At 42.0% G+C, this 26,668-nt stretch overlaps 1 protein-coding gene across 11 annotated transcripts in view, besides 1 other annotated feature; it reads right to left on the bottom strand.

Moving 5' to 3' along the window:
• Window positions 1-26,668, bottom strand: part of FAM114A1 (family with sequence similarity 114 member A1) — a 77,934-nt gene that overhangs the window by 26,261 nt on the left and 25,005 nt on the right. For 8 of the 11 annotated variants that reach the window (NR_033290.2, NM_138389.4, NM_001330764.2 and 5 more), the window contains 4 exons: window positions 13,844-13,957; window positions 13,618-13,724; window positions 10,753-10,887; window positions 4,406-4,558 (listed from right to left, as the gene is read on the bottom strand). Coding sequence is in view for 10 of the 11 variants with exons in the window: in NM_138389.4 (NP_612398.2) it covers window positions 4,406-4,558; window positions 10,753-10,887; window positions 13,618-13,724; window positions 13,844-13,957 (509 nt within the window). In the remaining variant the exon portion in view is untranslated. Of the gene's footprint in view, window positions 1-4,405; window positions 4,559-10,752; window positions 10,888-13,617; window positions 13,725-13,843; window positions 13,958-14,640; window positions 15,258-26,668 lie in introns of those variants that run through there. The other 3 variants (XM_047416412.1, NM_001350632.2, NM_001350634.2) reach the window with 3 other exon arrangements.
• Window positions 15,285-15,454: an enhancer, noted in NCBI's record as "experimental_80051 CRE fragment used in MPRA reporter constructs". NCBI's record gives its function as "activates a minimal promoter by MPRAs in K562 erythroleukemia cells, with activity observed for the introgressed 4:38905731 variant allele {active_cell/tissue: K562}" and the evidence as "EXISTENCE:reporter gene assay evidence [ECO:0000049][PMID:34662402]".

Genomic DNA, 26,668 nt, shown 5'->3' with positions numbered 1-26,668 from the left:
GTGGGATGGTGCCACTGGCTGTGTATCCCTCAGCCCACGGGATAGCTAAGAGGTGCTGCTTACAGGGGGTATGGCTGGAGCTTGAACTAGGGCATCCTCCCACAGCCACATAACGTTCCCTGGGGTGAGAGATAGAGCTGCAGATAGGAGGCAGGCAGGCTGAAGCAGAGTCTGGGAATTCAAATTTGAGGAGTCTGGGAATTCAAATGGGAACTTGGCCTTCCAGGTCATTATACAAGTATGTTTGTCAAGTTAAGAGGATGGAATACATTTTCTTTAACAATTTGTTTCTAAAGTTCTTTACCGTTTTAATTTTTATTATTTTTGAGACAGAGTCTCATTCTGTCACCTAGGCTGCAGTGCAGTGGTGTGATCTCGGCTCACTACAACCTCCGCCCCCCAGGTTCAAGTGACTCTCGTGCCTCAGCCTCCCGAGTAGCTGAGATTACAGGGATGTGCCATCACACCCTGCTAATTTTTGTATTTTTAGTAGAGATGGGGTTTTGCCTTGTTGGCCTGGCTGGTCTTGAACTCCTGGCCTTCAGGTGATCCACCTGCCTCGGCCTCCTGAAGTGCTGGGATTACAGGCGTGAGCCACTGTGCCCAGCCAGCTCACCCGGTTTTACATCTACCTTAGACCATAGGCAGTGCCACCATGCCTGGCTCTAATTTTTGTATTTTTATTTGAGACAGGGTTTTGCCATGTTGGTCAGGCTAGTCTCGAACTCCTGGCCTCAAGTGATCTGCCCGCCTCAGCCTCCCAAAGTGTTGGGATTACAGGTGTGAGCCACCGTGCCTGGCCCCAAAATTATTTAACTTTTAAATACTTGGTATGTGTAGGGTTGCCAGATAAAATACAGGATGCCTAGCTAAGCTTGAATTTCAGATAAACAGTGAATATTTTCTACATATAAGTATGTGTCCCAAATATTGCATGGGACACATTTATACTGAAAAAGTATTCATTGTTCATCTAAAGTTAAAATGTAACTAGTCATCCCGTATTTTTATTCGCTACGTGTGTCAACCTCAGTCTAAGCCTCCATTTGTTTTCTTGCTGGAGGCCTGTGTACCTTGGAACGGGCCTAGCGGAGCCACAAGACGGACACAGTCTGGTTCCTGAAGCCCTAAATGCAGGAATGCTGCCTGCTGACCAGGCACTCCTATCTTGGACTATTACAGGAGTGAAGAATAACTCTTACTGTTTTTGACCCATACATTTGTAGGACTGTTTATTTATTTATTATGTTTTTTGAGACGGAGTTTCGCTCTTGCTGCCCAGGCTGGAGTGCAATGGCGCGATCTCGGCTCACCACAACCTCCACATCCTGGGTTCAAGTGTTTCTCCTGCCTCAGCCTCCCGAATAGCTGGGATTAAAGGCATGCGTCACCATGCCCGGCTAATTTTGTATTTTTTTTTTTTTAGTAGAGACGGGGTTTCATCATGTTGGTCAGGCTGATCTCGAACTCCTGACCTCAGGTGATCCGCCTGTCTCAGCTTCCCAAAGTGTTGGGATTACAGGCGTGAGTCACCGCGCCTGGCCTGTAGGACTGTTTATTATAGTACCCATTAACTATCATTACTAAGTCAAGACAAAAATTTATTTTCCTTACTATGAATATCACAAAAATCTCCAGGCTAGGGAAAGAAAGCAGAGCTTGTGGAGGCAATGGGCAAACTGTTCCCCTCCAAAGGCCGAACCTTCTTCCTAGAAACTAAGTCCTTGGGGGCTCTTTTCCAGGGCCCTGGGGCTGTTTCACAGCTGAGAGCTGTGATGGAAGTCACCACAATGGAATCATTCTCCACCACCATGATATCTTGTAATGTTTTTTTTACAGCAGGGCCACGCTCCCCTGTGATATTTTTAATAACAACAAATGTCTATGACATAAGAACGCATATAAAAATCAACTGTCATCAACATGTGTACATTATTCAGTGCTTACTTCTGTGTTAGTCATGCTGCTACTAGCTTTCCATGGATTATCTCATTTAATTCTGTTAATAATTCTGTGAGGTAGATTTTATTATTCCCATTTCACAGATAAGGAGATTGAGGTAAGGGGGTCCAAAATCATACAGCTTCTGCATGGTGTTTAATTAAATAATGTCTGACTCCAGACCTTGCCTTTTTTTTTTTGAGACAGAGTCTTGCTCTGTCGCCCAGGCCAGAACGCAGTGGCACGATCTCGGCTTACTGCAACCTCTGCCTCCCAGGTTCAGGCGATTCTCCTGCCTTAGCCTCCTGAGTAGCTGGTATTACAGGCACCTGCCACCATGCCCAGCTTTTTTATTTATTTATTTATTTATTTATTTATTTATTTATTTGTATTTTTAGTAGAGATGGGGCTTCACCATGTTGGCCAGGCTGGTCTTGAACTCCTGACATCAGGTGATCTGCCCACCTCGGCCTCCCAAAGTGCTGGGATTAAGGCATGAGCCACTGCGCCTGGCTAAGAACTGCATTTTCTAGAGCACATCTTACTGGACTATTGGATTCTGAATTTATCGGAGCAATTTTATGACTCTGTAAATTGTAAAGGGCTGACAACAATGCAAAGCCATTGTTGTCAATAGTCATGTGAATGAATTCTGTGCAGTGGGAGGACAACCTCCCCTATGTGGAAAAGCAGGTTTGTGTCTATTGGCACCTTCATATATTTTTTAATTATTATACTTAAGTTCTGGGATACATGTGCAGAACGTGAAGGTTTGTTAACATAGGTATACACGTGCCATGGTGGTTTGCTGCACTCATCAACCTGTCATTTACATTAGGGATTTCTCCTAATGCTATCCCTCCCCTTGCCCCCTACCCCCGACAGGCCTCGGTGTGTGATGTTCCCCTCCCTGTGTCCATATGTTCTCATTGTTCAACTTCACTTATGAGTAAGAACACGCAGTTTTGGTTTTCCGTTCTTGTGTTGGTTTGCTGAGAATGATGGTTTCCAGCTTCATCCATGTCCCTGCAAAGGACATGAACTCATTCTTTTTTATGGCTGCATAGTATTCCACGGTGTATAGCCACATACATATTACTCCACACACATTTGTGCTTCTTTGGCTTTTCCTTTGAATCATTTATAACATCTGCTTGGTTCCCTGAATTAATTAATGAGCTAAATAAATCCTTTAACATAGGTCATGTTGTATCTGTATGAGAGTCCCAATTTTGCCCTTTTTGAAAATTATTCTTGAACAGTTTTAACCACAAGACTTTCCCTGAAGGCTCATGGATAACAAAGAAGGAAATAAACAGAGTAACATGTAGCTCCATCATCTGGGGCAGGGGACAATGTCTCCATCCTATTTGGTTCTTGGTTGCCTGTTATGTGGCAGATGTTGTCTTTCTCTGATTAGACAGGCATCAAGAATGGCTCAAAGTCCAAACATAACAGGATAAGGTCTAGGGAGAGTCAAAAACTACTTCTCCATTCTAAGGCTCACTGCCAAATTGAGCTTCTTGTCTAGGGACCTGCCTCTCCTCAATGAATGTCACCACGGCCCCTCCCTCTCTGGAGGCCCAGAGGGTACTGCCTGGTGGCCTCCACTAGAAAACCACTCCGGAGCACAGTCAGCCTGACATCCACAAAACAGCCACATATATACAGTTAAATAAGTTAACAGTTTTATGGTATTTAGAATAGTGGCTATGTAAGTGCCATTAAGTGCTTGCTAAATAAACACACACACACACACACACACACACACACACACACACACACACACACACCACTATAGATGCTTTAAGGGAAAAAAATCACCAAACCCTGCTGACTTTTGCTATTCATCTTTTGTTTTCCTGGGACCAAGTGGAGGAGTATGAATGTGCAGGGCCATTGGGTAGGCTGGGTTTCCCAGGTGTGTGTACGGGAGCATTCCCTAATAGAACCTTAACCTTCAGTAAGATAATCCTGCCCTTTGTGGCCCAGGAGTCCTAACAAGATGGCTGAATAAATAACTATATAACCCATAAGACAAAATATATTAAAACCCTGAAGTCTAAAAGGAACATCAAGTGCTTTGTTTGCATTGGGTAGGAATGAAGATGTGGGCTGGCAGGGCATCTCTGACCTGGGTACTTCGTTACCAAAGGGAGGCAGAGGGCCAGCAGCTGGACAGCCACATTTCTGAGCAGCCTTTTGCACCATGAGGTGGGGGGATAGTGGTGGCTCTTACTGTGCAGGCCTTTTTGGAGCTGGGGTGGGGTAATAGCTTAGCATAGGACAGAGAAGAGATGATATGGAGCTCGAGGGTCATCCCATTGTACAGTATTTCTGACCTCAGCACAATAATAATGAGGCTCTAAAAATGAGATCTTTTAATGGCAGATTTTCCAGTTTCTTTCATGTTTAAGCAACACATGACTAAGCATGCCATTTCAAACGAGTAGTGCAGAAGTACCTTGCTTTCGCTTTCATTGGACAGAATTTCCAGGGCTTCCAGGTGTGACAAGCCTTGATATTCATCAAACAGCATCCCGTAGTGCGCGGTTCTCTCCATCGTGAGCTGCTGTGCCAGTCTCTGCTTCTCCTTCTCCTTAGCTTCCCTTAACATCTGCAGAAATACACAATGTTTGTACTCTGGATGTACATTTAAAAGCACCGTTTCCTGTGTAAGACATGGGGGAGGTTGGGAGGACTGATTTTGTGTTGGAGAGGGGGAGATTCTGGTCACTTTAGAATTTCTAAAAAATGATTTTTTTGATTGATCCTATTGATAACTTTTACATCATATCCTACTTCACATTTTACATGTTCATTATGTGAAAGGCAAAACAAAGCAAAAATTCAATGCCTGGGAATAAACTGTTAAGAAACACACCAAAAGCTTTAACAGTGGTTTCCACTGAGGCGTTTCCCACATGAGTGATTAACTTTCTTATTTTCTTATTATTTTATTTATTTATTTTGAGATGGAGTCTCACTCTGTTGCTCAGGCTGGAGTGCAGTGGCACAGTCTCGGCTCCCTGCAACCTCCGCCCCACGGGTTCAAGCGATTCTCCTGCCTCAGCCTCCTGAGGAGCTGGGACTACAGACCCTTGCCACCATGCCCAGCTAATTTTTGTATTTTTTGGTAGAGACAGGGTTTCACCATGTTGCCCAGACTGGTCTCAAACTCCTGACCTCAAGTGATCCTCCTCCCTCAGCCTCTCAACATGCTGGGATTGCAGGTGTGAGCCACTGCACCCGGCCAAATTTCTTATTTTCTAAAGTCCCCAAATTTTCTATAATGAGCGAGTTTTATGTATGCTTGAAAAGTTGAATCTCTTATGACAGGATTAACTTTAAGTCCTGCACCTACACAGACGTCAAAGCAGAAATAAGCTGGCCTGATTTTTTCTAAGTTATAATTTTTTATTTTATTTTATTTTTTTGAGATGGAGTTTAGCTCTTGTTGCCCAGGCTGGAGTGCAAGGGTACGATCTCAGCTCATTGCAACCTCCCCATCCCAGGTTCAAGTGATTCTCCTGCCTCAGCCTCCCGAGTAGCTGGGATTACAGGCACCCGCCACCACAGCCAGCTAATTTTTTTGTATTTTTAGTAGAGATGGGGTTTCACCATGTTGGCCAGGCTGGTCTCGAACTCCTGACCTCAGGTGATCTACCCAGCTTGGCCTCCAAAAGCGCTGGGATCACAGGCGTGAGCCACTGCACCTGGCCGAGTTTTAATATTTTAAAAATTTTGTGTACGTGGTTATTAAATTTCCTCAATTTAAAAATTAATAAACATAATCTCATAATGTATTTGTCATCATATACTTACTGCAATTAAGAATATTAACTTAGGGCCAGGCACGGTGGCTCACACCTGTAATTCTAGTACTTCGGGAGGCTGAGATGGGCAGATCACTTGAGGTCAGGAGTTCGAGACCAGCCTGGCATGGTGGAACCACGTATCTACTAAAAATACAAAAATTAGCCGGGCATGGTGGTGCATGCCTGTAATCCCAGCTACTCAGGAGGCTGAGGCAGGAGAGGCGGAGGTTGAACCCGGAGGCGCAGTGAGCCGAGACTGCGCCGTTGCACTCCAGCCTGGGCAACAGAGTGAGACTTGGTCTCAAAACAAAAAAACAAAAAAGAACATTAGCTTATAGATTCTTAAGTCTGGTTTCCAGAAATATGACTGTGAACCAAGTTTCCTCTCCCCATTAATAACTTTTCTCCAGTTATTTTTTGTTGGTTAAGCAAAAAGACAACAAATAAACACAAGTCCATCAGTCACTCTCAATTTTCTGCACTTGCGTTTTTGATTCTAAGCATCTTTTATGTGATTCCTCATTAAGTTTACTGAGGCATTACGTGTATGGGGTTCTTTAATTTCTGTGGAAAGCACTGTAAAGACACTGGCCACCACCACAAGGTCACAGGGGAAGACAACTGAAGAATAGACTTTGGTTTTTATTGTGTGCCAGAAAAACAATCAGCCTTATTTCCTTCTGGGTTCTCGAGGTTATCTGCCAAGAACCCACAGGGCCGCAAAGAGAATTCTCTCTCCTGTCTGTCTTTAAGACTAAATTAGCACAGACTCTGAATCTTAAAGTTTTTCAAACAACCCAATGAAACCATCACTGGAAAATTTTAACACTGGCAATAAAAACTAATTACCCGCACTGATCTCAGGACTTGGTGGTGGTAAAATAAAATAACAAAGTGACACTGAAATCACTTCCTTTCTCTACACCAGCTTCCACCTCCGAATGTGGGCTTCGGGAGAGAAAAAAGAAGGGATGAAATTGAAGAGAAAGGGAAAGGGTCACTCTGGAAAGATGTGGACTCACTCAAAACTGGGGAGTAGGCCAGGCGCGGTGGCTCACGCCTGTAATCCCAGCACTTTGGGAGGCCAAGGTGGGCCGATCACTAGGTCAGGAGTTCAAGACCAGCCTGGCCAATATGATGAAACCCTGTCTCTACTAAAAATTCAAAAAATTAGCTGGGCATGGTGGCGGGCACCTGTAATCCCAGCTATTCAGGAGGGAGGCAGGAGAATCACTTGAAGCCAAGAGGAGGAGGTTGCAGTGAGCCAAGATTGCGCCATTGCACTCCAGCCTGGGTGACAGAGTGAGACTCCATCTCAAAACAAACAAACAAACAAAACACAACTGGGGAGTGAAATTAAAGCTGCCTGAGGGATAACCAGCTTGACAACGGAGGCTGGTTCTATTTTCCCACTAGAGAAGAAAGGGAAGTGGGTTTCAATAGCAGGGAATGATCCTGGCCTGGAAGAATTCCTGACACAGAGAAGCTATGGAGACTTCCATGTGTGGAATCCAAGGACCCCCTGTCCCCGTGTTATTTAAAGAGTATTCCCTGCGCTTGGCTGGGTGCGGTGGCTCATGCCTGTACTCTCAGCACTTTTCAAGGCCAAATAGGGTGGATCACTTGAGGTCAGGAGTTCGGGACCAGCCTGGCCAACATGGTGAAACCCCGTCTCTACTAAAAATACAAAAATTAGCCGGGCGTGGTGGTGCACACTGTAATCCCAGCTACTCAGGAGGCTGAGGCAGGGGAATTGCTTGAACCCAGGAGGCGGAGGTTGCAGTGAGTCAAGATCGCGCCACTGCACTCCATCCTGGGCGACAGAGTGAGGGCTCTGTCTCAAAAAAAAAAAAAAAAAGAAAAAAGAAAAAAAAAGAAAAAAAAAAAGAAGAAAGAAAGAAAAAGAAAGAGTATTCCCTGTGCCACTAGGATAAAAATACGTGAGAAATGTAGGTAGTGCACGCGTGCACGCTTCTAGTTTCCATAGTTATATATTTCTTTAGTGTGTAAAGGAAAAATATGTGAGCTTCATCCTTCCAGTTGTCCGAAAGACCTTGGAGCCATCCCTGACAACTGCTTTTATCTCACAGCTCACATTCATTCCAACAAGCGATCTGGATCTATCTTCAAATTATAGCCAGAATCAGCCATTCCTCACTACCTACAAGGCCTCCATGCTGCACAGGGCCACCATTATCTCTTGTTTAGATAACAGCAATTGAAAGTGCAATTGCCTCCAGTGGAGGGTGTGACAGTGCAACCTGCAGACCTCCCTCCTACTCCTGGGAGCATAAATGCTGGACTTCGAAATCCAGCCTTCAGCCTCCCACAGCTCTTCCCTGTCAATCACTGGTGCAGCAGGGCACTAAGGCAGACCTGTTCCTGGAAGATGAGGTCTCCTTTGTCAGCAGCCTTTGGCTGAAGGGCTTTCCCATGGCTTCGCCCAGCCTTTCCCATGCCGCACTGCAGTCTGGGACACTTTCACCCATTTTTCTCACCCTCTTCTCTTCACTGGGGTGGGACCGGCATCCTGGTCTAATGGTTCTCCCAGCCTTCCTGGGCTCCCTCCCCATTTTCTCTCACACAAGCACTTCCCCTAATGAAATCCTTGCATGTTTAAGCCCATCTTGGTGTCTGTTTCTGGGAGGGCACAGACTGATAGTCACTCTAACCAGTCTCCCTGCCCTTGGTCCTCCCAGCCAATTTTCTACCCAGGAACCAGAGTGGTCCTGTTAAAGCACAAATCAGATTCTGTCACTTCTTTTCTCAAAATGCTGCAATGGTTTCCCCATTTCACTAACAGTCAAACCCAAGGTCCTTACGAATGTCTGCCATGATCTGCTATCACCTACTCCCTATCACCACTCTGATGTCCTCCTCAACAGCTCTCGCCCGGAGCCCACTCCTCTCCATCACGGGCATCCTGCTGTTCTGTGTTCATGCCAGACACTCCTGACTCAGGGCCTTTGCGTGAGTTCTCCCTTGGCCTGGAATGAGCTTTACTCAGGTTCCTGCATGGCCAATGCTCTCATCTCCTTCAAGGATTTGCTCACATGTCATCATCTGCCCAAGGCCCCCTCACTATCCTACTTAACACTCAGCCTGCCCCTCACACCCACATTTCTGATTCCTCATCACCTCTTCCTGTTCTACTTTGTCTTTTTCCCCATGGCACTCGCTCGTCACTTTCTGAAATACCAGATATTGCCTTCCACATCCCCTCTCTGTGAGGCTGGAAGTAAGGCATTTCAAGATGATGAGGCCAGAAGATGTGGGCTCAGAAGTGTGCTAGCCATGAGAGCCCCCTGGGACGAGCTCCTGTGTGAGCAGGAATATTCATGCTGCACTTTGTGAGAGCGAAAGGTAAACCTTTTTGTTCTAAGCCACACTGATACTTAGGGGTGGTTGTTCTTTCATGACATCTAGTGCTAATTACCTAACTAATACTAATCTATTTTCCTTTCTCTTCTTTTTTTTTTTTGAGATGCAGTCCTGCTTTATTGCCCAGGCTAGAGTGCAGTGGCACAATCTCGGCTCACTGTAATCACCACCTCCCTGGTTCAAGCAATTCCCCTGCCTCAGCCTCCCGAGTAGCTGGGATTACAGGTGCTCGCCACCACATCCGGCTAATTTTTTTTTTTGTATTTTTAGTAAAGACAGGGTTTCACCATCTTGGCCAGGCTGGTCTCGAACTCCTGACCTCAGGTGATCTGCCCGCCTCGGCCTCTCAAAGTGCTGGGATTACCGGCATGAGCCACTGTGCCCAGCCATCTATTTTCTTTTTCAAGGAGCAGCAGGGTGATGGTCTAGATGATCCTGCAAAGTCCCTCCCTGGACTATAACATCGGAGTGCTCATACTTGGGTTATTCCAGAAGAGACAAGAAGAAATAGCCTAAAACAAAAGCTTCTAGGGGTTGCCATGAACATATTCTCAGTGATAGCTGTTCATGAAGGCAACCTTCATGGGTTCCTAGTACCAAGTCCTGCCTGTGACGTTTACAAAATCCACTGCTGCATCAGCTGCTTCTGATTTCAGGAAAGCACAGAGACCTGGTGTATCAGTCTCTCGTGGAGGAGGTGGACTGGGGCATGCCTGGATTGTGGGGTAAGCTAGGCATGTTCCATCTGGAAAAGTAAGTTTAATATTAGAGTCATATTTGGAAAACAAGACTAATATTATTTCCAATTTTCTTAACTATTGTAAGTAAGCAAAGACAGATTGAATTCTTTGTTTTATGTTTTGCAAGAAGGGCTGGAAAACTTTAGTGCTGGAAGTGTGAGAGGAGAAGACCATCCTTGCACATATCAAGAGAAACAGAATTTAAAATTCCAATGAGATACCATTTCCACCTATTATACCGACACATAATAACGGCAATGACAACAACTAACATTTCTGAATGCTTACTAAGAGCTGGGTTCTATTCTAACTCAGCGTATCCTCACAACAAAGTTATTGGTAGGTATTTAAATTATCCCCAGTGTACAGATGAGTAAGCTGAGGCACAGAGGGGCTAAGTAACTTGCCCAAGGTCACTCAGCTACTAAGTGGTAGAGATGGGATGCATACCATGACATAAATGGATCATCTTCAAGAAATAATATTAAGTGAATTAAGCAAGGAACAAGAGTGTGTTTAGTATGTTACCACTGGGTTGAAAAAATATGTGTGTATTTATGTGCATGTCTATCCACATGCATACATATGTACTTTTACATCTGTATATTTATGTATAGCTGCATCTATAGATCTATATCCATATCTCTCTGCGGTCTCTGATAGAATCCTTAAGGAACTGTTAACTGGTTGTCTCCTCTGAGGAATTAAGTGACTGGGGAAATGGGGGTATTAGAAGCTCAGTTTTCTCTCTCTGCTCTTTGGTGTCATTTGATTTGAATCACATGCTTTAAATGAGCTATTCAAAAAGATAAATAAAAAATTTATTTACTTTATTGACTGAAAGAAAAAATTGCAAACGTATATAATCCAACCTGAGACAAGGAAACAGTTCTCTCCATGAGCGTCTTGGTCCGCTTAAAGCCCGGGTCACTTTCTGCAAGGACATTCATGGTTTTCTTGCCGATGAATTCCAACGCATCAAGGCCTCCAGTTAAGACACTTTTACCCTGCAGATGAGATAACTGCATGAGATTAGATGTTTAGGTTTTGCTGTTTCGCAGCAGTCAGCAACTCCTAGGTAACTGGCACTATCTTCAAATATTAAAATCAATATAAAGTCACAATTTTTTCTCATCAGGAGATTTATCATCCATTTAATCCTATTCTCGTTTCCTTGGAAAAGCATATGTTATATAATTTGTAGGACATACAATGTTATTAAAGACTGATGCTTAGAAAAAAACCAAAGCACATAAAATAAAATTAATCCCACAAAGGGATTAATTTTACTGGCTCTCTGTGTATGAATGGATGTGTATCTAAGACATAAAATTAACATAAAATAAATTGCTAAGACATAAAATTAACATAAAATAAATTGCTGTTTCTGTTTAAAAATTTTTTTAACCCAAGTAACAGAGTTGCTTGGAGCAGTCTATTAAAATGTCAAACAGTCCTGCTAATTTAGGGAATTCTTTAATCTAGGGCCCTGGAGGGTAAGACCCTCAGGCTGTTTCAGATGGTTCTTGCATACTCTCAGAAACTAGCAATAACTGCCTATAATTAGTATATCCATGAAATGAGACAGGTTGATTTCCTTGTACTTCTGGCTTTAGAAACTGGTGTATTATATAGCTATCCTCCTGCAAATCCCTTTGTCAGTCATTGTTGCTTTTTTTAAAAAATTAAAATAACCCAGACTTACTCACACATAAACTATTCAAGTGAACAGAACTGCATACATGTCTTTGCAACTCTTTCATACTTACACTCCAACTGTATAACTGCAATTATAATATGCATACATCTGTGTTTTTCCCCACCATATATAAAAATGATATAAATTGTATTTTATTATGATATTATTACTGATATGCATTTTCCAATCTTCATAATTATCATTTAAATAGAAGTATTTAATTTCATAGAATTAATATACTTTATTTTCATCTTGGGTATTTAGACTTTGTTTTTAGATTTGGGAGCCAACCAGTAATCATGCTGTAAATCAGTTTTCAGTGCGCACACTTCGGGGGGATGATGGGACAGCAGCAATTCACACTTCTGTGTAATTTGACTTAGTGCCTGCTAACATCCTATGAAAAATTATTTTATTGAGAATAAAATGGTGGAAGAAAGGACACAGGGATTTGTGTTAAGGATAGACTTGGAGGGGTAGTGTCTGGAACTTGGGAAAAAGGGGTCAAGAAGGTTGGAGAGAACACAGAAAGGAATGTGAGGCTGCTGAAGACAAACTCATAGTGCCCTCTTGGTAGCTCAGATAGGCCGTGAATTCATTTCTTATACCAGAGGTACTGACAGAGCTCCATCCATCTCCCATCCTACAAACCCCCCACGGGGGTGGTTGACTTGTATTGCTACTTGACTCCTAAGACAGATTTGCTGCTCCTCCTTACTTCCCCCACCCCAGTCTAGAGGTCCTCAAATAGCAAGGAGAAGACCAGTCATTTTCTATATTTCTGGCATGTCCTGACCCCAAGGTCTGGGTGAGATCCTCTCATGTTTGACCGCAGCCCTCACCTCTTCCCGAATTACATTGTGTTTATTTGTTCAGTCGCCTCAGTCCTCTGGGATATTGTGCCCTCTTGTTTGCCAGCATATATCCAAGATCTAGCATAGATACTGGAACATAGTGAGGGCTAATCATGTTTGTGTTGTTGTTTTTCTTTTAATGAATGAATGAATGAATGAATGACTAAATGAGACACGAGCCATATTTTTAGAAAAACTAGTTAGTTTACATAGTAAGAAATACACCTTCACACCTGTAATCTCAGCACTTTGGGAGGCCGAGGCAGGAGGATCACCTGAGGTCAAGAGTTCAAGACAAGCCTGGCCAACGTGGTGAAACCCCATCTCTACTAAAAACACAAAAATTAGCTGGGTGTGGTGGTGGGCACCTGTAATCCCAGCTACTTGGGAGGCTGAGGTGGGAGAATCACTTGAATCAGGGATGCGGAGGTTGCAGTGAGCCGAGATTGCACCACTGCACGCCAGCCTAGGTGACAAGAGTGAGACTCCATCTCAAAAAAACAAAAGAAAAAACAAAATAAATCTTTGCTCCCTGACCCTGATGACCAGCTACCTGCCTTATCTCAGTTGAGGTGCCTCCCCTTTTTTCATTATTCACCAATGTTTTGCTGCTAATATGGAGCTTCTTCTAAGAGGTAGGCAGGGATCTAGGGGGATACACTTAGGGTGGTGTAAGGAGGAGGAAGGGTGGGAATGAAGAGGTAGGGATGGGGGAAGAACGCTGGTCTCTGGAAACACTTCAGAAACATATTTGGGCTGTTTTTCCTGTCTTGTAACGGGTACTTTTTATTTAAACGGTTTAATGCTTTTTCAAACTCAGGGATAAGATAAGCAGAGCATTTAGGAAAAACAGCTGTCCCAGCTCTGATAAAGAGTTCTCTCTCCCCTCAACCAGAGGCTGTCCTTGCCGCAGCTGGAAAGGACACTGTTAAATCAGACTGAAAAATGTTCCTTCCAAACAGCTCCCTTCTTTTAAACATAAAATATATTTCATTTTGCCCTTATTATTTTGAATCCAAGGTTACGTCTACTTTGTAGCAGAAAACATTAAAAAAAAAACCATAATCCAAAGTTCTGAGCAAGGCCATCGTTTCTCTGATGTATCTAGGTCACTGGTAAATGGAAATATCAAAAGAAGGCCCTGGGAAATACAGGGGAAAGAGAGGAAGCAGCCAGCGACTCACTGTGTTTTGAACCACATTGGTGATGGCAGACAGCATACCCCGAGAGGCTGATGAAGGGGAAGTGGGTGGGCTTTCTGCAGGGCCCTGATCTGTGGCTGCATCTGTTACTAAAGAGAAAAAAGAAATCCTTTAAGAGTTCACGTCGCTGATCTGAACTTGGAAAACCTCTGATTATGCACATGGTGTAATAAAGTCCAAGAACACCCAGAGGAGACACATCACTCACTTTCAGGGACTCCGTTTTCAGTATTTGGTTGGGCTCCTTCAGAAGATCCAGAATTTACACCATGAATCCGTAGAGTGGCTCCTGCTTTTTCCTTGACTGCCGTCAATCCATGACCTGTTGGAAATAAAAATATGGTTCATGGATACATTAGAAATCCACGGTCTGCAAATCCTCCACCAAATCTTACAAAGCTGTTTCAAGTTGCAGAAGTACATCTTTCTTTTTTTTTTTTTTTAAAAGATGGAGTCTTGCTCTGTCACCCAGGCTGGAGTGCAGTGGTGCAATCTTGGCTCACTGCAACCTCCGCCTCCCGAGTTCAAGTGATTCTCCTGCCTCAGCCTCCCTAGCAGCTGGGATTACAGATGCACACCACCACGCCCGGCTAATTTTTGTGCCTTTAGTGGAGACTAGGTTTCACTAAGTGTTGGCCAGGCTTGTCTTGAACTCCTGACCTCAGGTGATTGGCTCACCTCTGCCTCCCAAAGTGCTGGGATTACAGGTGTGAGCCATCGCACCTGGCCTGTAGAAGTACATCCTGATTGAAAGAAAGAGGAATCCCTGCTCCCTGAGATGTGGGTTCCAATATGAGCTCAGTTTCACCCCTGCCTGGTTGAATGACCTTGGAGAAGTTACCTAGCCTCTCTGTGACTCAGTTTCCTCATTGAGTTATTGTGACGTGCAAATGAGATACACGTAGGTAAAGTGCTCCCGGATGCTTCACTGTTTGCTTTTGCTTCTCACACCACCTAGCTATCAACCTGGAATTCTAAGCTCAACACAGTCTTTGTATAGTGTACCTGTCTCATCCTCTTTACTCTTTTGTAAGCTCCTTATGGAAGATATTCTTCATTCATTTTTTTGATTCCTTGCAGGCTTAGCACATTGCAGATGATCAATTAATATTGGTTGGATTGAAATCACCTGAGCCTCAGAATGTTTCTTTAAAGCATTAGGCCTTCCTTTAGGCATGGAGAGTGAAGGTCCTGGAGCTGACATCCAAAAATCAAAAGGCAAGTCAGTGGAGAAACCAGGAAGGCCACCCAACAGCCCCGACAGTTGTCTTAATAATGATATAAATCAACCTTAACAGCAGTCAGGCAGGCGAAGAGCACAGGTTTTACTCCATCTAAGCAGGGATAATACCCTTGTTCCCTGAGCCAGGCAGAGCGGTTATTCAATAACTATTTGGTAAATACAGAGCTGACCTTCCTACCCACAGGGAAAAACCCCAACCTTTGACCTGATACGGACATAGTCTTGTCTACATTTTATTCTGGAGAGATTTTCCTCCCTTTGAGGCCTTCACGATGAGCTATAGCTTTTCTGAGTTGTCAAACTGTTGAAGGAATGAATAGCCTACGGATGGTCCAAAGTGGCTGTCTGACTTCTTGAAGGAGAAACAGCACAGGCTGCCATCATCACAGAACTCCCCATCCCCCGAGCACTCACGGAGAAAATGAAAGATTTCTCTCGGGACCTGGGTGACCTCAGGTTGCTAAAACACAAGGCAGTAATATGAGGAAAAACGTCCCAAGTCCCAACAGAATTTGAGAGCTAACTAGAACCACCTAGTCTTAGAAGGCACTGTTAAAATAACCAATTGCCCATTTCCTGAATAAGAAAGGGGAACACATGGATGACTCCCAAACCTAAAGAGTAGCATTTTAGCAGTTGTAACCTTATTTATCCTAGTGATCTTAGCATTAACAAGGCACTGATATTTGACAAATGTAGAAGGAATTATGTCCAATGGAAATCACCTGTCCTTATACACTACCTAGAAAACCCTGAAATGTAAACATTATTTACAACTGTAATCACATATAGAAATACGTGTTTATAGTCATGTGCAGATCATTAGACACAGTTCAAATTAATTACTGAGTTACTTGAAAAAATAAAGGTGTATTGCGACTGTTAAGGCTTGAATTAATTATCTCTAGCGTCCAATGAATTTCAAGCATTTCAATGGAAACTTATTGAAGTTTCAATAACACATTTAAGTTAGAGGATAGAATATCTTACTCTTTTACATACTGAGTCCAACTTCCCTGCCATTAAATATATATATATGCATTTTCCAAAAGGAAATAATGTGCCTCCAAATCTCAACCTATGATTCTCGTCTAGATTTCTGAGAGCCAAAATCAAGGAAAAAAATGAGGTCAAGGAGGCTGGGAGGCACCATCTTCTCTGTCTTCTTTGCTTAAGCCACTCAAGAAAGATGATCACACATCCTTCCCTGAGACTGTTTCAGGAGATAATGAAACTCATATTCAGTATCTCTTCTTTCACCTTCTCCGTCCCTTGCAGGTTAGGATAATGTCTGGTTCCTTTTGCAGGAAGAATGGCTTCTCGCCATCTCAGAACATAAACGATCACAGATATGTATACACGAGCTGCCTCTAGAAAAATCACTTTGTTACTAGAAGGAAATACGATTTTATGTGCATGTAAATGGGATCTATCTATTTAACAGACATCAAAATAGGCTGCTGTTCCAACTACATTTTCTTATTAACAATTCTTTTTCTGAATTTTTTGTTAGGGAAAGTACCCTTTTACTGCATTCTACCAGAAATATAAAGTTCAGCTTTACAAAAAAAAAGAAACAAAAAATAAATATAAAGTTCAGCTTTATATTTATGTATGAGCTATAATTTTTCATAGCTAAGATTTTAGACACTGTGCCACACCTTACTCTAAAGAGTAACCTCTAAAACTTTACTTAGTGTGACATCTAGTGTCCAGAACAAGAAAATAATAATATGAAGTCACTGTTGCCTTTTGATTGGGAGTGATTTCATCTCCAGAGGTACTGACTGGGACCTACTAATAAGAGAAAAACAACAAATATGAATAATACTATAGGGTACAGTTCATGGATTAATTTCTTCATGTGTCATCCCAAACCCCAAGTATCCCCAAAATCTGAAACCCCTCTAAACTCCATGGTTCTAAAGATGGAATATCCTCTACTCTTTGGCTCACTGCAATAGAAGGTGAGTGCTGCAAAGAAGATGAGAATGTCGTACAAATGCTTCGATAATGTATCATTTTAAAATAAATGCTGAATGATTGGCTGGTATTTAATTTACCATCTATACTCAAATGGAAAATACCTTAAACTTAGGAGTCAGGAGTCTTGTGGAGGATTTCTGCTCCCATCATTTATGAGCTGTGTAATGCTGGTGAGCTGCTTAACCTCTCTGAGTCTCTGCGGCTGTGCATTCTCTGAAAGGAGGATTACCTCTCAGAGTTTTGCGAGATTATTGAGAAGAAACATGTGAAATCTCTGCTATGGCCGACATTTATTGAGCACTTACTATGTCCTAACACTGTACTAAATACTTTTAGTACAGTACATTATCTCATTTAATCTTCTCAATGATCTTATGAGGTAAGGGATATTAGTATACTCATTTCACAACTGAGAAAACTGAGACCTGGTGAGGTGAAATCACTTTCCCAAGGTCCTAAAGCCAATCAGTGACAAAGGCAGGATTCCAACTCAGTCCTTCTGACTCTAGAACCCACATGTGTAATCACTATGTTATGTTAAGAAAGTTTTATGTGTCATTTATAGTTGATTAAATGTCATTTTAATCCCATTTCTGTAACTCCTTGGAAATCAGATCCTTGGTTTGGAGCTTCCTACTTTTTAAAACATTGTTTTATTCTAAAATGCACTTGACTTACCTTACCTTGACCAAAGAACAAGGTGAAGATCACCTCCAGGGTGAAACCTGACACTAACCCTCTCCCTGTCAACTGTGTCTAGTGATGGCATAGCTTAGTGTTTTTAGGATCATCCCTGTGCTGTGCAGGCTGTATTCTCAAGACACTGTGTAGGGCTATCTTACACATCCACTTTGATCTTTTTCTTCCCGCAAAGCACTGTGATCTTATGAAGCTCTCTTCTTGTGAATTCCACCAGGATCAAAAAGCCATTGAAGGGAAGTCTCTCCTCTTTCTGGAAAGATGAAATAACTGCTGGCTATTTGAAATAATCAAGATGAAATAATTTGCAAAAAGAATATGATGGACCGGGCATGGTGGCTCATGCCTGTAATCCCAGCACTTTGGGAGGCCGAGGTAGGCGGATCACCTGAGATCAGGAGTTCGAGACCATCCTGGCCAACATGGTGAAACCCCACCTCTACCAAAAATACAATACAAAATTTGCCGGGTGTGGCGGCAGGCGCCTGTAATCCCAGCTACTTGGGAGGCTGAGGCAGGAGAATCGCTTGAACCCAGGAGGCATGGGTGCAGCGAGCTGAGTTTGCACCATCGCACTCCAGCCTGGGTGACGACAGAGCCAGACTAGGACTCCAGCTCAAAAAAAAAACAAGAGAATATGCTGGGAAGTTCTCTCTGACCAAGTGGTAACTCAGGGAAGCAACAGCAGTTCTCTGCAGCACCCTGGATGACTGGATAGCTCAATGGCTACTTCCTATTGGTCCCATATGCTAAAGGATCACGAGAAGGGCCCACGCTAACTCATCAGGAAAGTTTCTCCCTTTTAGCTTGTTTTATTTTTTAAGACAATATTTCCTTCTTTTTCTTATTTTAACTTTCTCTTTTTCCTTCTTTTTCAAAAAATGAATGTATTAAAAAGAGACTTTTAAAAATCCCATAATATCATATCTCTGATATATCTGGTTGAATTTTTACTCCATTTTTTTTTTGTGGTAAAATGCACATGACATGCATTTTACCACCTTAACTTTTCCTACCTGAATAGTTCAGAGATACCAAATACCTTCACAATATTATGCAACCATCACCACCATCCATCTCCAGAACTTTTTCCCTTGTATAAAATAGAAACTCTATACCCATTTAAACAATAACTCCCCACTCTCCTCTTTTACCAGCCCCTGGCAACCATCATTCTACATTCCAGTAGTCAGAACGTTCTCAAATCTCTATGATTTTGACTATTTCTAAGTGCCCCACAGAAGTGGAATCACACGGTATTTGTCTTTTTGTGACTGGCTCATTTCACTTAGCATAATGTCCTCAAGGTTCATCCATGTTGTAACATATGTCAGAATTTCCTTCTTTTTAAAATCTGAATAATATTCCCTTGTATGTAAAGACCACATTTTGCTTTTCCATTCGTCTGTCGACAGACACTGTGGTTGCTTCTGTGTTTTAGCTATTGTGAATAATGCTGCTATGATCATGGGTGTACAAATATCTCCCTGGGACCCTGCCTTTAATTCTTTTGGAAATATAATCAGAAGTGGAATTGGTGGATCATATGGTAATTCTGTTTTTAGTTTTTTGAGGAACTGTTGTACTGTCTTCCACAGCAGCTGTACCATTTTATAACCCCACCAAGAGCACACAAGGGTTCCAGTTTCTCCGCATCCTCACCAACGCTTATTTTCTGTTTTTTTTTTTTAAAATAATCGTCATTCTTATACTGAAATATTAGTGGTAAAAAAATTTTCAAAACGTCATTCTAATGGGTGTGAGGTATTATCTCATCATAGTTTTGATTAGCATTTCCCTAATGATTAGTGGTGTTGAGCATGTTTTCATGTGCAGATTTAAAAAATAAAAATTTCATAATATTAGCAAGTCCAAAGAGTATAGAAACATAGATAACAGAAGGTGGGCCAGCCTCTTTCTGCTTAGATAGATTCCAGTAACGTAATAAGCAATAGAGTGTATGAGCTTATAAGGTCCTGTGGAAATAAGTAAGGCCTGCAAAAACTGATGGCTTTAAAAGAAAAAAAAATTGCAAATTAGATAGTAATTAATATTTACTTAAATGTATTCAAAATGTAATATTGGATCAGCTGGTCTATTATCATTCAAAGAAATTCAACTCCTACATAGTTACATATGTGTGTGTGTGTAGGAAATTTAATGAAAAATGTGGGTACATTCTAATGTATTTGCTCTGATATAGGAGTGACTTCTAAAAAAAGCAATGCTTGGAGCTTTTGAAAGACTTCCTTCTAAAGATAACAGTTCTAATTATTTCTTGTGATTCCTTTCAAGAATATAAAAGCATATTTACCTAAATATAAGTCTTCTGGACCTGGCTTTTCCCATTTGGCAGTTCACAGTTGAAGTCTCAGCACACACAGATAGTGCTGTGTGCTATGTGCTGCCTGGAATCACAGTGCTCATTCTCCTTGATTCTGGGAGTGTTGTCTACTGACAGCGCTCAACTAAATAAATGCCTCCCTTTGAATTGCCCTTGACCAAAGGGAGTTGGTTCCACCAAGACTATACTATAGTGACTGGTCAATGAGGGAGCTGTTGATATAAAGGCCCGGTGCTGTGGATTAATGGAAGACATCTCCTAAGAGTCATCCCAAACCCCAAGCTCCCAATGGGATAGGTTAAGACCTCTGCTGTAACGACACTGCAGTTCAGCTTCTCCCTTGGCTTAGTTTTGCTTCCCAATCCTTTGCTCTCTTGCAAAGCTTGTTCCAGAAAGCACTTCACAGTAAAACTCCAGCACACAATTTCTGACTCATCCCTCTGCTGGGCATCCAACCTAGAAAACTGATCTACCTTGGTCTTTTTAATGGCTGCATAGTATTCCACTGAATGGAGATAGATATATCTGTCTATATATATATATATAACATATATATGAAACTTATACTACATATATAACATATATTACATATATAACATATATATTACATATATAATATATAACATATAAATATATAACATATATATAACATATATATTACTCATATATATAAAGTACTGACTGTGTTTCAGACTCTTCTATAGATGAGTTCAAGATATTATAAAAAGTTGTGAAGAGCAATTGTTCAGAAAAGCACAAGTTGATACTGCCATGCTCAACCAAAGCGAACTATAGTGCAGCAAAAAGGGAGCCAATCAACCTTCCTTTGGAATAGTCTTTCCTCTCCATATGATGGTTGATGTCCACTCTGTAATCAGATGCTTACTTCCCTTTAGGCTCAAAATAGACAAGAAGTGTTACTGAACTGATGATATTTGCCCAGAAGTCCAACAGAAACTCATTAACCCCTGTGTTTTATTCATAGAATCTAAAGGACGATGGACAAACTCTAAGCATTATTCCTATTCTCTTTGTCTCAATGTTCCTTGAGAAATTTCATATCATCAGCAATGTCACCTTCAAAAATGAATCCATGCGCTATCGACAGTGATTTATACGGTGATGATTTCTCATCGTAGTATCATTTTGACAAGTTTGCCATTCTCTGTAATAAACACTGTCATTTCTGACCGGGCTGCTAGAAGAGTTTCATTAAAATGTGCAGAAGGAAAAAACTATGTACCTTGGGAGAGGATGAGTAAGGGGAACAATGATAATTTTGGAAAAAGTAAATATACATATCAGGTACATTCCGTACACACCAACCCCCAACCTCAGGTACTCTTGCATAAGATGTTTAAACTCATAAAACTGTCAAAACTAGAATTTCAAATAAACATTTAAGCCTTTGGTGGTATCTAGAAATAAATTACTGTATTCTACTATAGAGCTCTTCCTTTTGTATACTTATACATGTTTTAGCATTGTTGACTTTCATTTTGACTACTGGTCTATCACTCTTAGCCTAGTAATACATTTTGGAAGCAAGTCAGGTCTATAAGATCCTGTGGGATTTGGAACTACTATCAAAACCCTCTTTTCTTTTTTCTTTCTTTTTTTTTTTTTGAAACAGAGTCTTGTTCTGTTGCCCAGGCTGGAGTGCAGTGGTGCAATCTTGGCTCACTGCAACCTCCATCTCCCAGGCTCAAGCGATTCTTCTGTCGCAGCCTCCAAGCAGCTGGTACTACAGGGGCATGTCACCACACTCAGCTAATTTTTGTATTTTTTTTTTTTAGTAGAGATGGGGTTTTGCCATGTTGGCCAGGCTGGTCTTGAACTCCTGACCTCAAGTTGATTTACCTGCCTCAGCCTCCCCAAAAACCCTCTTTTCTAAAATGTTTTCTATTCTTGTGTCTGCCTGGAAATAATAACCAAGCTTACTTCATTTCACAAACTTGTCCAAAGGCATGGGTGACAGGTGATCAAATCTTCTAAGAATGTGATGACAGTGTAGCTGTAGTTGAGCCTAATGCAAGAGTTAAGTCCTCTCCAAAATAATTGTTGGCTGAAAAATGTTTGATTTTGTATAAGCATTAGGAAGGTCACTTTTTCTCATTTTCCCTTAACCTCAGAGTGAAAGAGTATTGAGGCAAAAGATAAAATATAAAAATAGAGTAGACATAATTTCAATTAATTTTCTGTATTTTTCCACTTAGCACAGTGGGCACAAATATCTTTCTCCTTCTATGCATAGACACAGGATATGGTATCAACATATTCTGGAAGTTGGAAGAGACCTTAGAATTTCTCCAGTTTTTTCACCCACGTTTTTCCATACAAAGAACCTGAGTCTTAGGTTAAGGGCACAGTGTAGCTAGTTAGTAACAGTGCCTTGTGATCACAAGTTAGCAGCATTCAGGACCAGGTCTCAGGTCTTATGACTCATGGTACAGTGCTCATTCCAAGAGATTACCATTTTTCAATTGTTTCTATTCTCCTGTTATTCTCCTGCCAACTCTCAACAGTTCTAACTATTCTAACTGCAGTTTTTCAACAACTGTTAGAGGTAATGGTTTCCATTTCTAGTGCTCAATTGACAGCTCTGTGTTTTGTTAATGTCTATATGTTTTGCACCCCTGTCTGCAGCTGGAATTACCCTGGGGGTATACATGAGGTTTCTGAGTAGACATCAATTGCAATTGAACATGTGGTTATTTTCTTTCCTTACTTTCCACAGGCAATTTATAAATCTTCAAAGCTTGTCTACTACTGTGAATGATCTGTTTTCCAATAAGTTTCTTTGCCTGATGATAATAAACTGCTAATGCTGTAAAGCCCTGGGGTTGACACTATGCCTGTACATAGCAGAAATTGTGCCTCGCTTGCCTCTCTCAATCCCAAGATAGTGGCTCAACATAGACCACAGATCAGGAAGGCACACATAACTTTAAATTCTCTGTTCACAGATCTTTGAGCCCCATTCCAACCTGTTTCAGGCTGTGAGCCTGGCTCCATGTGTGGGCAACTTATGATCCCTCTTACCTTTCAGCAGTCAAACTCCCAACCACCAGTGCTTGTTTCCAGCCTGGGAACCCATGACTTCAGCCTCCTGTTAGGCTACATGCTTTAGTTCTGTACAGGTCTACAAAGACACTTGTCCAATTTTGAAATATACATTGCTTTTGTTTTAACTACTATTACTACATAAAGTCACAGCATGTCCTCATCAGAAATCTCCAAAATATGCAGTAAGAGCAATTTAGGCAGGGTTTTCAGTTATACTTCTATTGCATTCATTTTGGGGGGAGGAGGTGGGTAGTGATGATCAGTGGTGATGAACAATTTTAGTACCTGCTTTTCTAAAGACAGCTCTAAAATTTCTCCAAAGGGACTTTTAGAATGAGCATCAATATTTCAAAATTTTAATGACTTTCCTCATGTACCCTTTGCCATTTTGTATGCAAACAAGAGAAAAATGCCAAGATTTCCTTGCTTTTCAAAATTCCAGCATGTAGCCAGAACCATAGAAAATACTAAGGTTCTGTAATTGGTGGTGTAACTGACAAAGATCTCAAACAGAGACGAGAAGAGAATTAAGGTAGGCGGGATGCACCACATGACAAACTTACGGTCAACGACGGGCCACATCTATGACAGTGGTCCCATAAGATCATAATACTGTATTTTTCCTGTGCCTTTTCTATGTTTAGATGTGTGAAATACACAAATACTTATTATTGTGTTACAATTGCCTACAGTATTCAGTACAGTAATAAGCTGTCCTATGTTTGCAGCCTCGGCGCAATAGGCTTTACCACATAGCCTAGCTGTGTAGGTCTGTGTATACTTTGGAGGTTTGCACAATGATTAAATCACCCAACGACCCATTTCTCAGAAGGTATTCCCATTGTTAAGTGAAGCATGACCGTATTGAGAGACGGCCCCAAGATTCTTGTCCCCAGATGTATACACCCTATGTGATCCCTTCCCTTTGGAGTGTGAGCCGGAGTGTAAACAGGATGGGATTTCACCCCTGTGATTAGGTTACTCTATCCAGCAATGATGGGGAGAATTTTCACATGTAATTAAGGTCCTTGATCAGTTGAATTTCAGTGACTCAAAAGAGAGATCATCCTTAGTGCGCCTGAACTAATCAGGAGCGTCTTTAAAACAAAGGGGCCCTTCCTGAAGGTAGCGATTTGAAGCATGAGAGAGATTTTCCTGCTGGCTTTGAAGGAGGACCTGAGGGCAGCCTCTAAGAGCTGAAAGTGAGCCCTGGTCAATAATCAGCAGGAAAACAGGGACCTCAGTCCTACAACTTCAAAATCTGAATTCTGCCAACAACGTGAATGACCCTGAAAGATGACGTCTTCAAAGCAGAGGTGCCAGCTGAGCAGCTGGCAGAGCCACTGGCCTCATCTTCGACTCTGGGCCCCCTTCTAGCTGCACCACCCTATCCTCCAGAGACTTTAAAGTTATGGGTGCCTTCCTGATCTGTGGTCTATGTTGAGCCATTATCTTGGGATTGAGAGAGGCAAGCGAGGAACAACTTCCATTATGTACAAGCATAGTGTCAACCCCAGGGCCATGCTGCCTCAGGTAAAAGTGAGCCTCAGATGAGAATACAGCTGGCTGCCACCCTGATTTTAGCCTGTTAAGCTCACATTATTTTACATGAGCAGCTGTCCCATACCTGAACTCTTGACCCACGGAAACTGTAAAATAATGAATGCATGTTGTTTTCAGCCTCTTTAACTGTGGTAATTCCTTACATAGCAACAGAAACTAATACAAGAGGGTATACTGAACTTCATTCTGATATTGCATGAGGAATGTGCAAATGTCATACACTCTCAGAGAAACCACGTGTTTACTCACCCTAGAAGAAAAGTGGCAAGTTTTTCCATCCACGGACTGACAGCTCGCCCATTGAATTTACTATCCAGCATCTTCTTAGGTGTCCTTTTGTAATCTGATCTTTGCATACGTGCAGATTTGGTTCCAGTGGACTGTGCTCCAAGGCCTCTAGGTTTTGTTACTTGGTTCAAATATAACCAGTAGATGGTGCTGACATTACTACTTAAAAAGCGGGATATTATTTTTCATGGCACAGTGACCATGTGACTGGCACAATGCTCATGATGGCCTACAGGAATTTACCTCTCTAGGCTCTTCTGGATCAATGATTACTCAGAGCCAGATGCGAACCATCACAATTTATAAATTGTTGTGAGAGTAACAAGATGCAGTATTTATTATCTGCATGGTGGCTCAGACACAGAGAAACTTTAAGAGCAACCCCAAACACAAGCACAGGCCGCAGATTAAGACAATGACGTCGGATCAAGTCAAAAGGGACCTGCTGTGAAAAATCACACCCTGCTTTTTTTTTTTTTTTTTTTTTTTTTTGAGACATACTCTCATTCTATTGCCCAGGCTGGAGTGCAGGGGCGTAATCTCTGTTCACTGCAACCTCCACCTCCTGGGTTCAAGCAATTCTCCTGTCTCAGCCTCCCATGTAGCTGGGACTACAGGCACCCACCACCACGTCCAGCTAATTTTTGTATTTTTAGTAGAGATGGGTTTTCACCATGTTGGCCAGGCTGGTCTTGAACTCCTGACCTCAAATGATCCATCCACCTCGGCCTCCCAAAGTGCCGGGATTACAGGCGTGAGCCACCATGCCTGGCCACATCCCACTTTTTAAGCAGTAAAGTCAGCGCCATCTACTGGTTACATGTGAACCAGGTGACAAAACCCGGAGGCCTTGGAGCACCATCCACTGGAACCAAAGCTGCATGTGTGCAAAGGTCAGATTATAGCAAGACACCTAAGAAGGTGCTGGATAGTAAATTCAATGGGAGAGCTGTCAGTTCATGGACAGAAAACCTTGGGAGGGTCCAACAAAGCCCAAAGTCAAATGAGGTACAGACACTGAATGAGAAACAACAGCAAATGGTCTGACCAACCAGGGCTAGAGCAGTTACAGGGAGATGCACCTTTAAGTGTGCACAGAGAGCACCTATAGCTGCTACCACAGAGCAGATGATTTCTGTGTTTACTGTGGCAGGAACTTATATTTAAAAGTTTAATGAAAGAGTAAGTCCTCCATCTATACTAGAACCCTCGAACCACCAATTCATTATAAACCAGAGTGGTTTGGATGCGGTTAAAACTGGAAACATCCAGGACACATGACTGTTTTATGATATAAACCACGAGAAGAGCTGTATAATTTTAGTGACCATATTATTTACTTTTTCATGACTTATTCCAATTAAAACAATCTTTTAGAACCTCCTTTTTAGTTTTTGGCTTAGAAAGCATGTCACTTCTAAGTGCCACCAGTGGCAAGATCCTTTTGATAGCCACTAAGTTCAAACATTTTTCCAAGGACAGAGGATGCCTGCAGGTGCTTGTCCTCACCCTTGTGAAGAGATAGCATCCTGTTCAGAAAACAAAACAGGCGCCTCTACTTGAATTTAGTTAAATTTGTCATCTGCATATGTGGTACTCAAGGCATAGCCATCCCCTTAATAAGCAATAGAGAAAATCTGCTCTCCAGGCTTACCAGAGAGGTCAACATTTATTTGGCCATTGCTACTTCTTCCCAGAGCCTTCCTGAGCAAACTGATATTTGACAGAGATGGAATTAGAGGAATGCAATCTATCCATTCTTCCAGGCAGCCTAAGCTCTGTCAAGTTAGATATCTGGCCCTTAACACTGTGGTCATGGTCCACTGGGGTGGGGCAAAAGGCCT

Source organism: Homo sapiens, chromosome 4 (genome assembly GCF_000001405.40).
Source record: "Homo sapiens chromosome 4, GRCh38.p14 Primary Assembly".
Taxonomy (NCBI): domain Eukaryota; kingdom Metazoa; phylum Chordata; class Mammalia; order Primates; family Hominidae; genus Homo; species Homo sapiens.
Note: the sequence above shows the minus strand (reverse complement) of the source record. Positions and strands in the feature narration are given on the sequence as shown.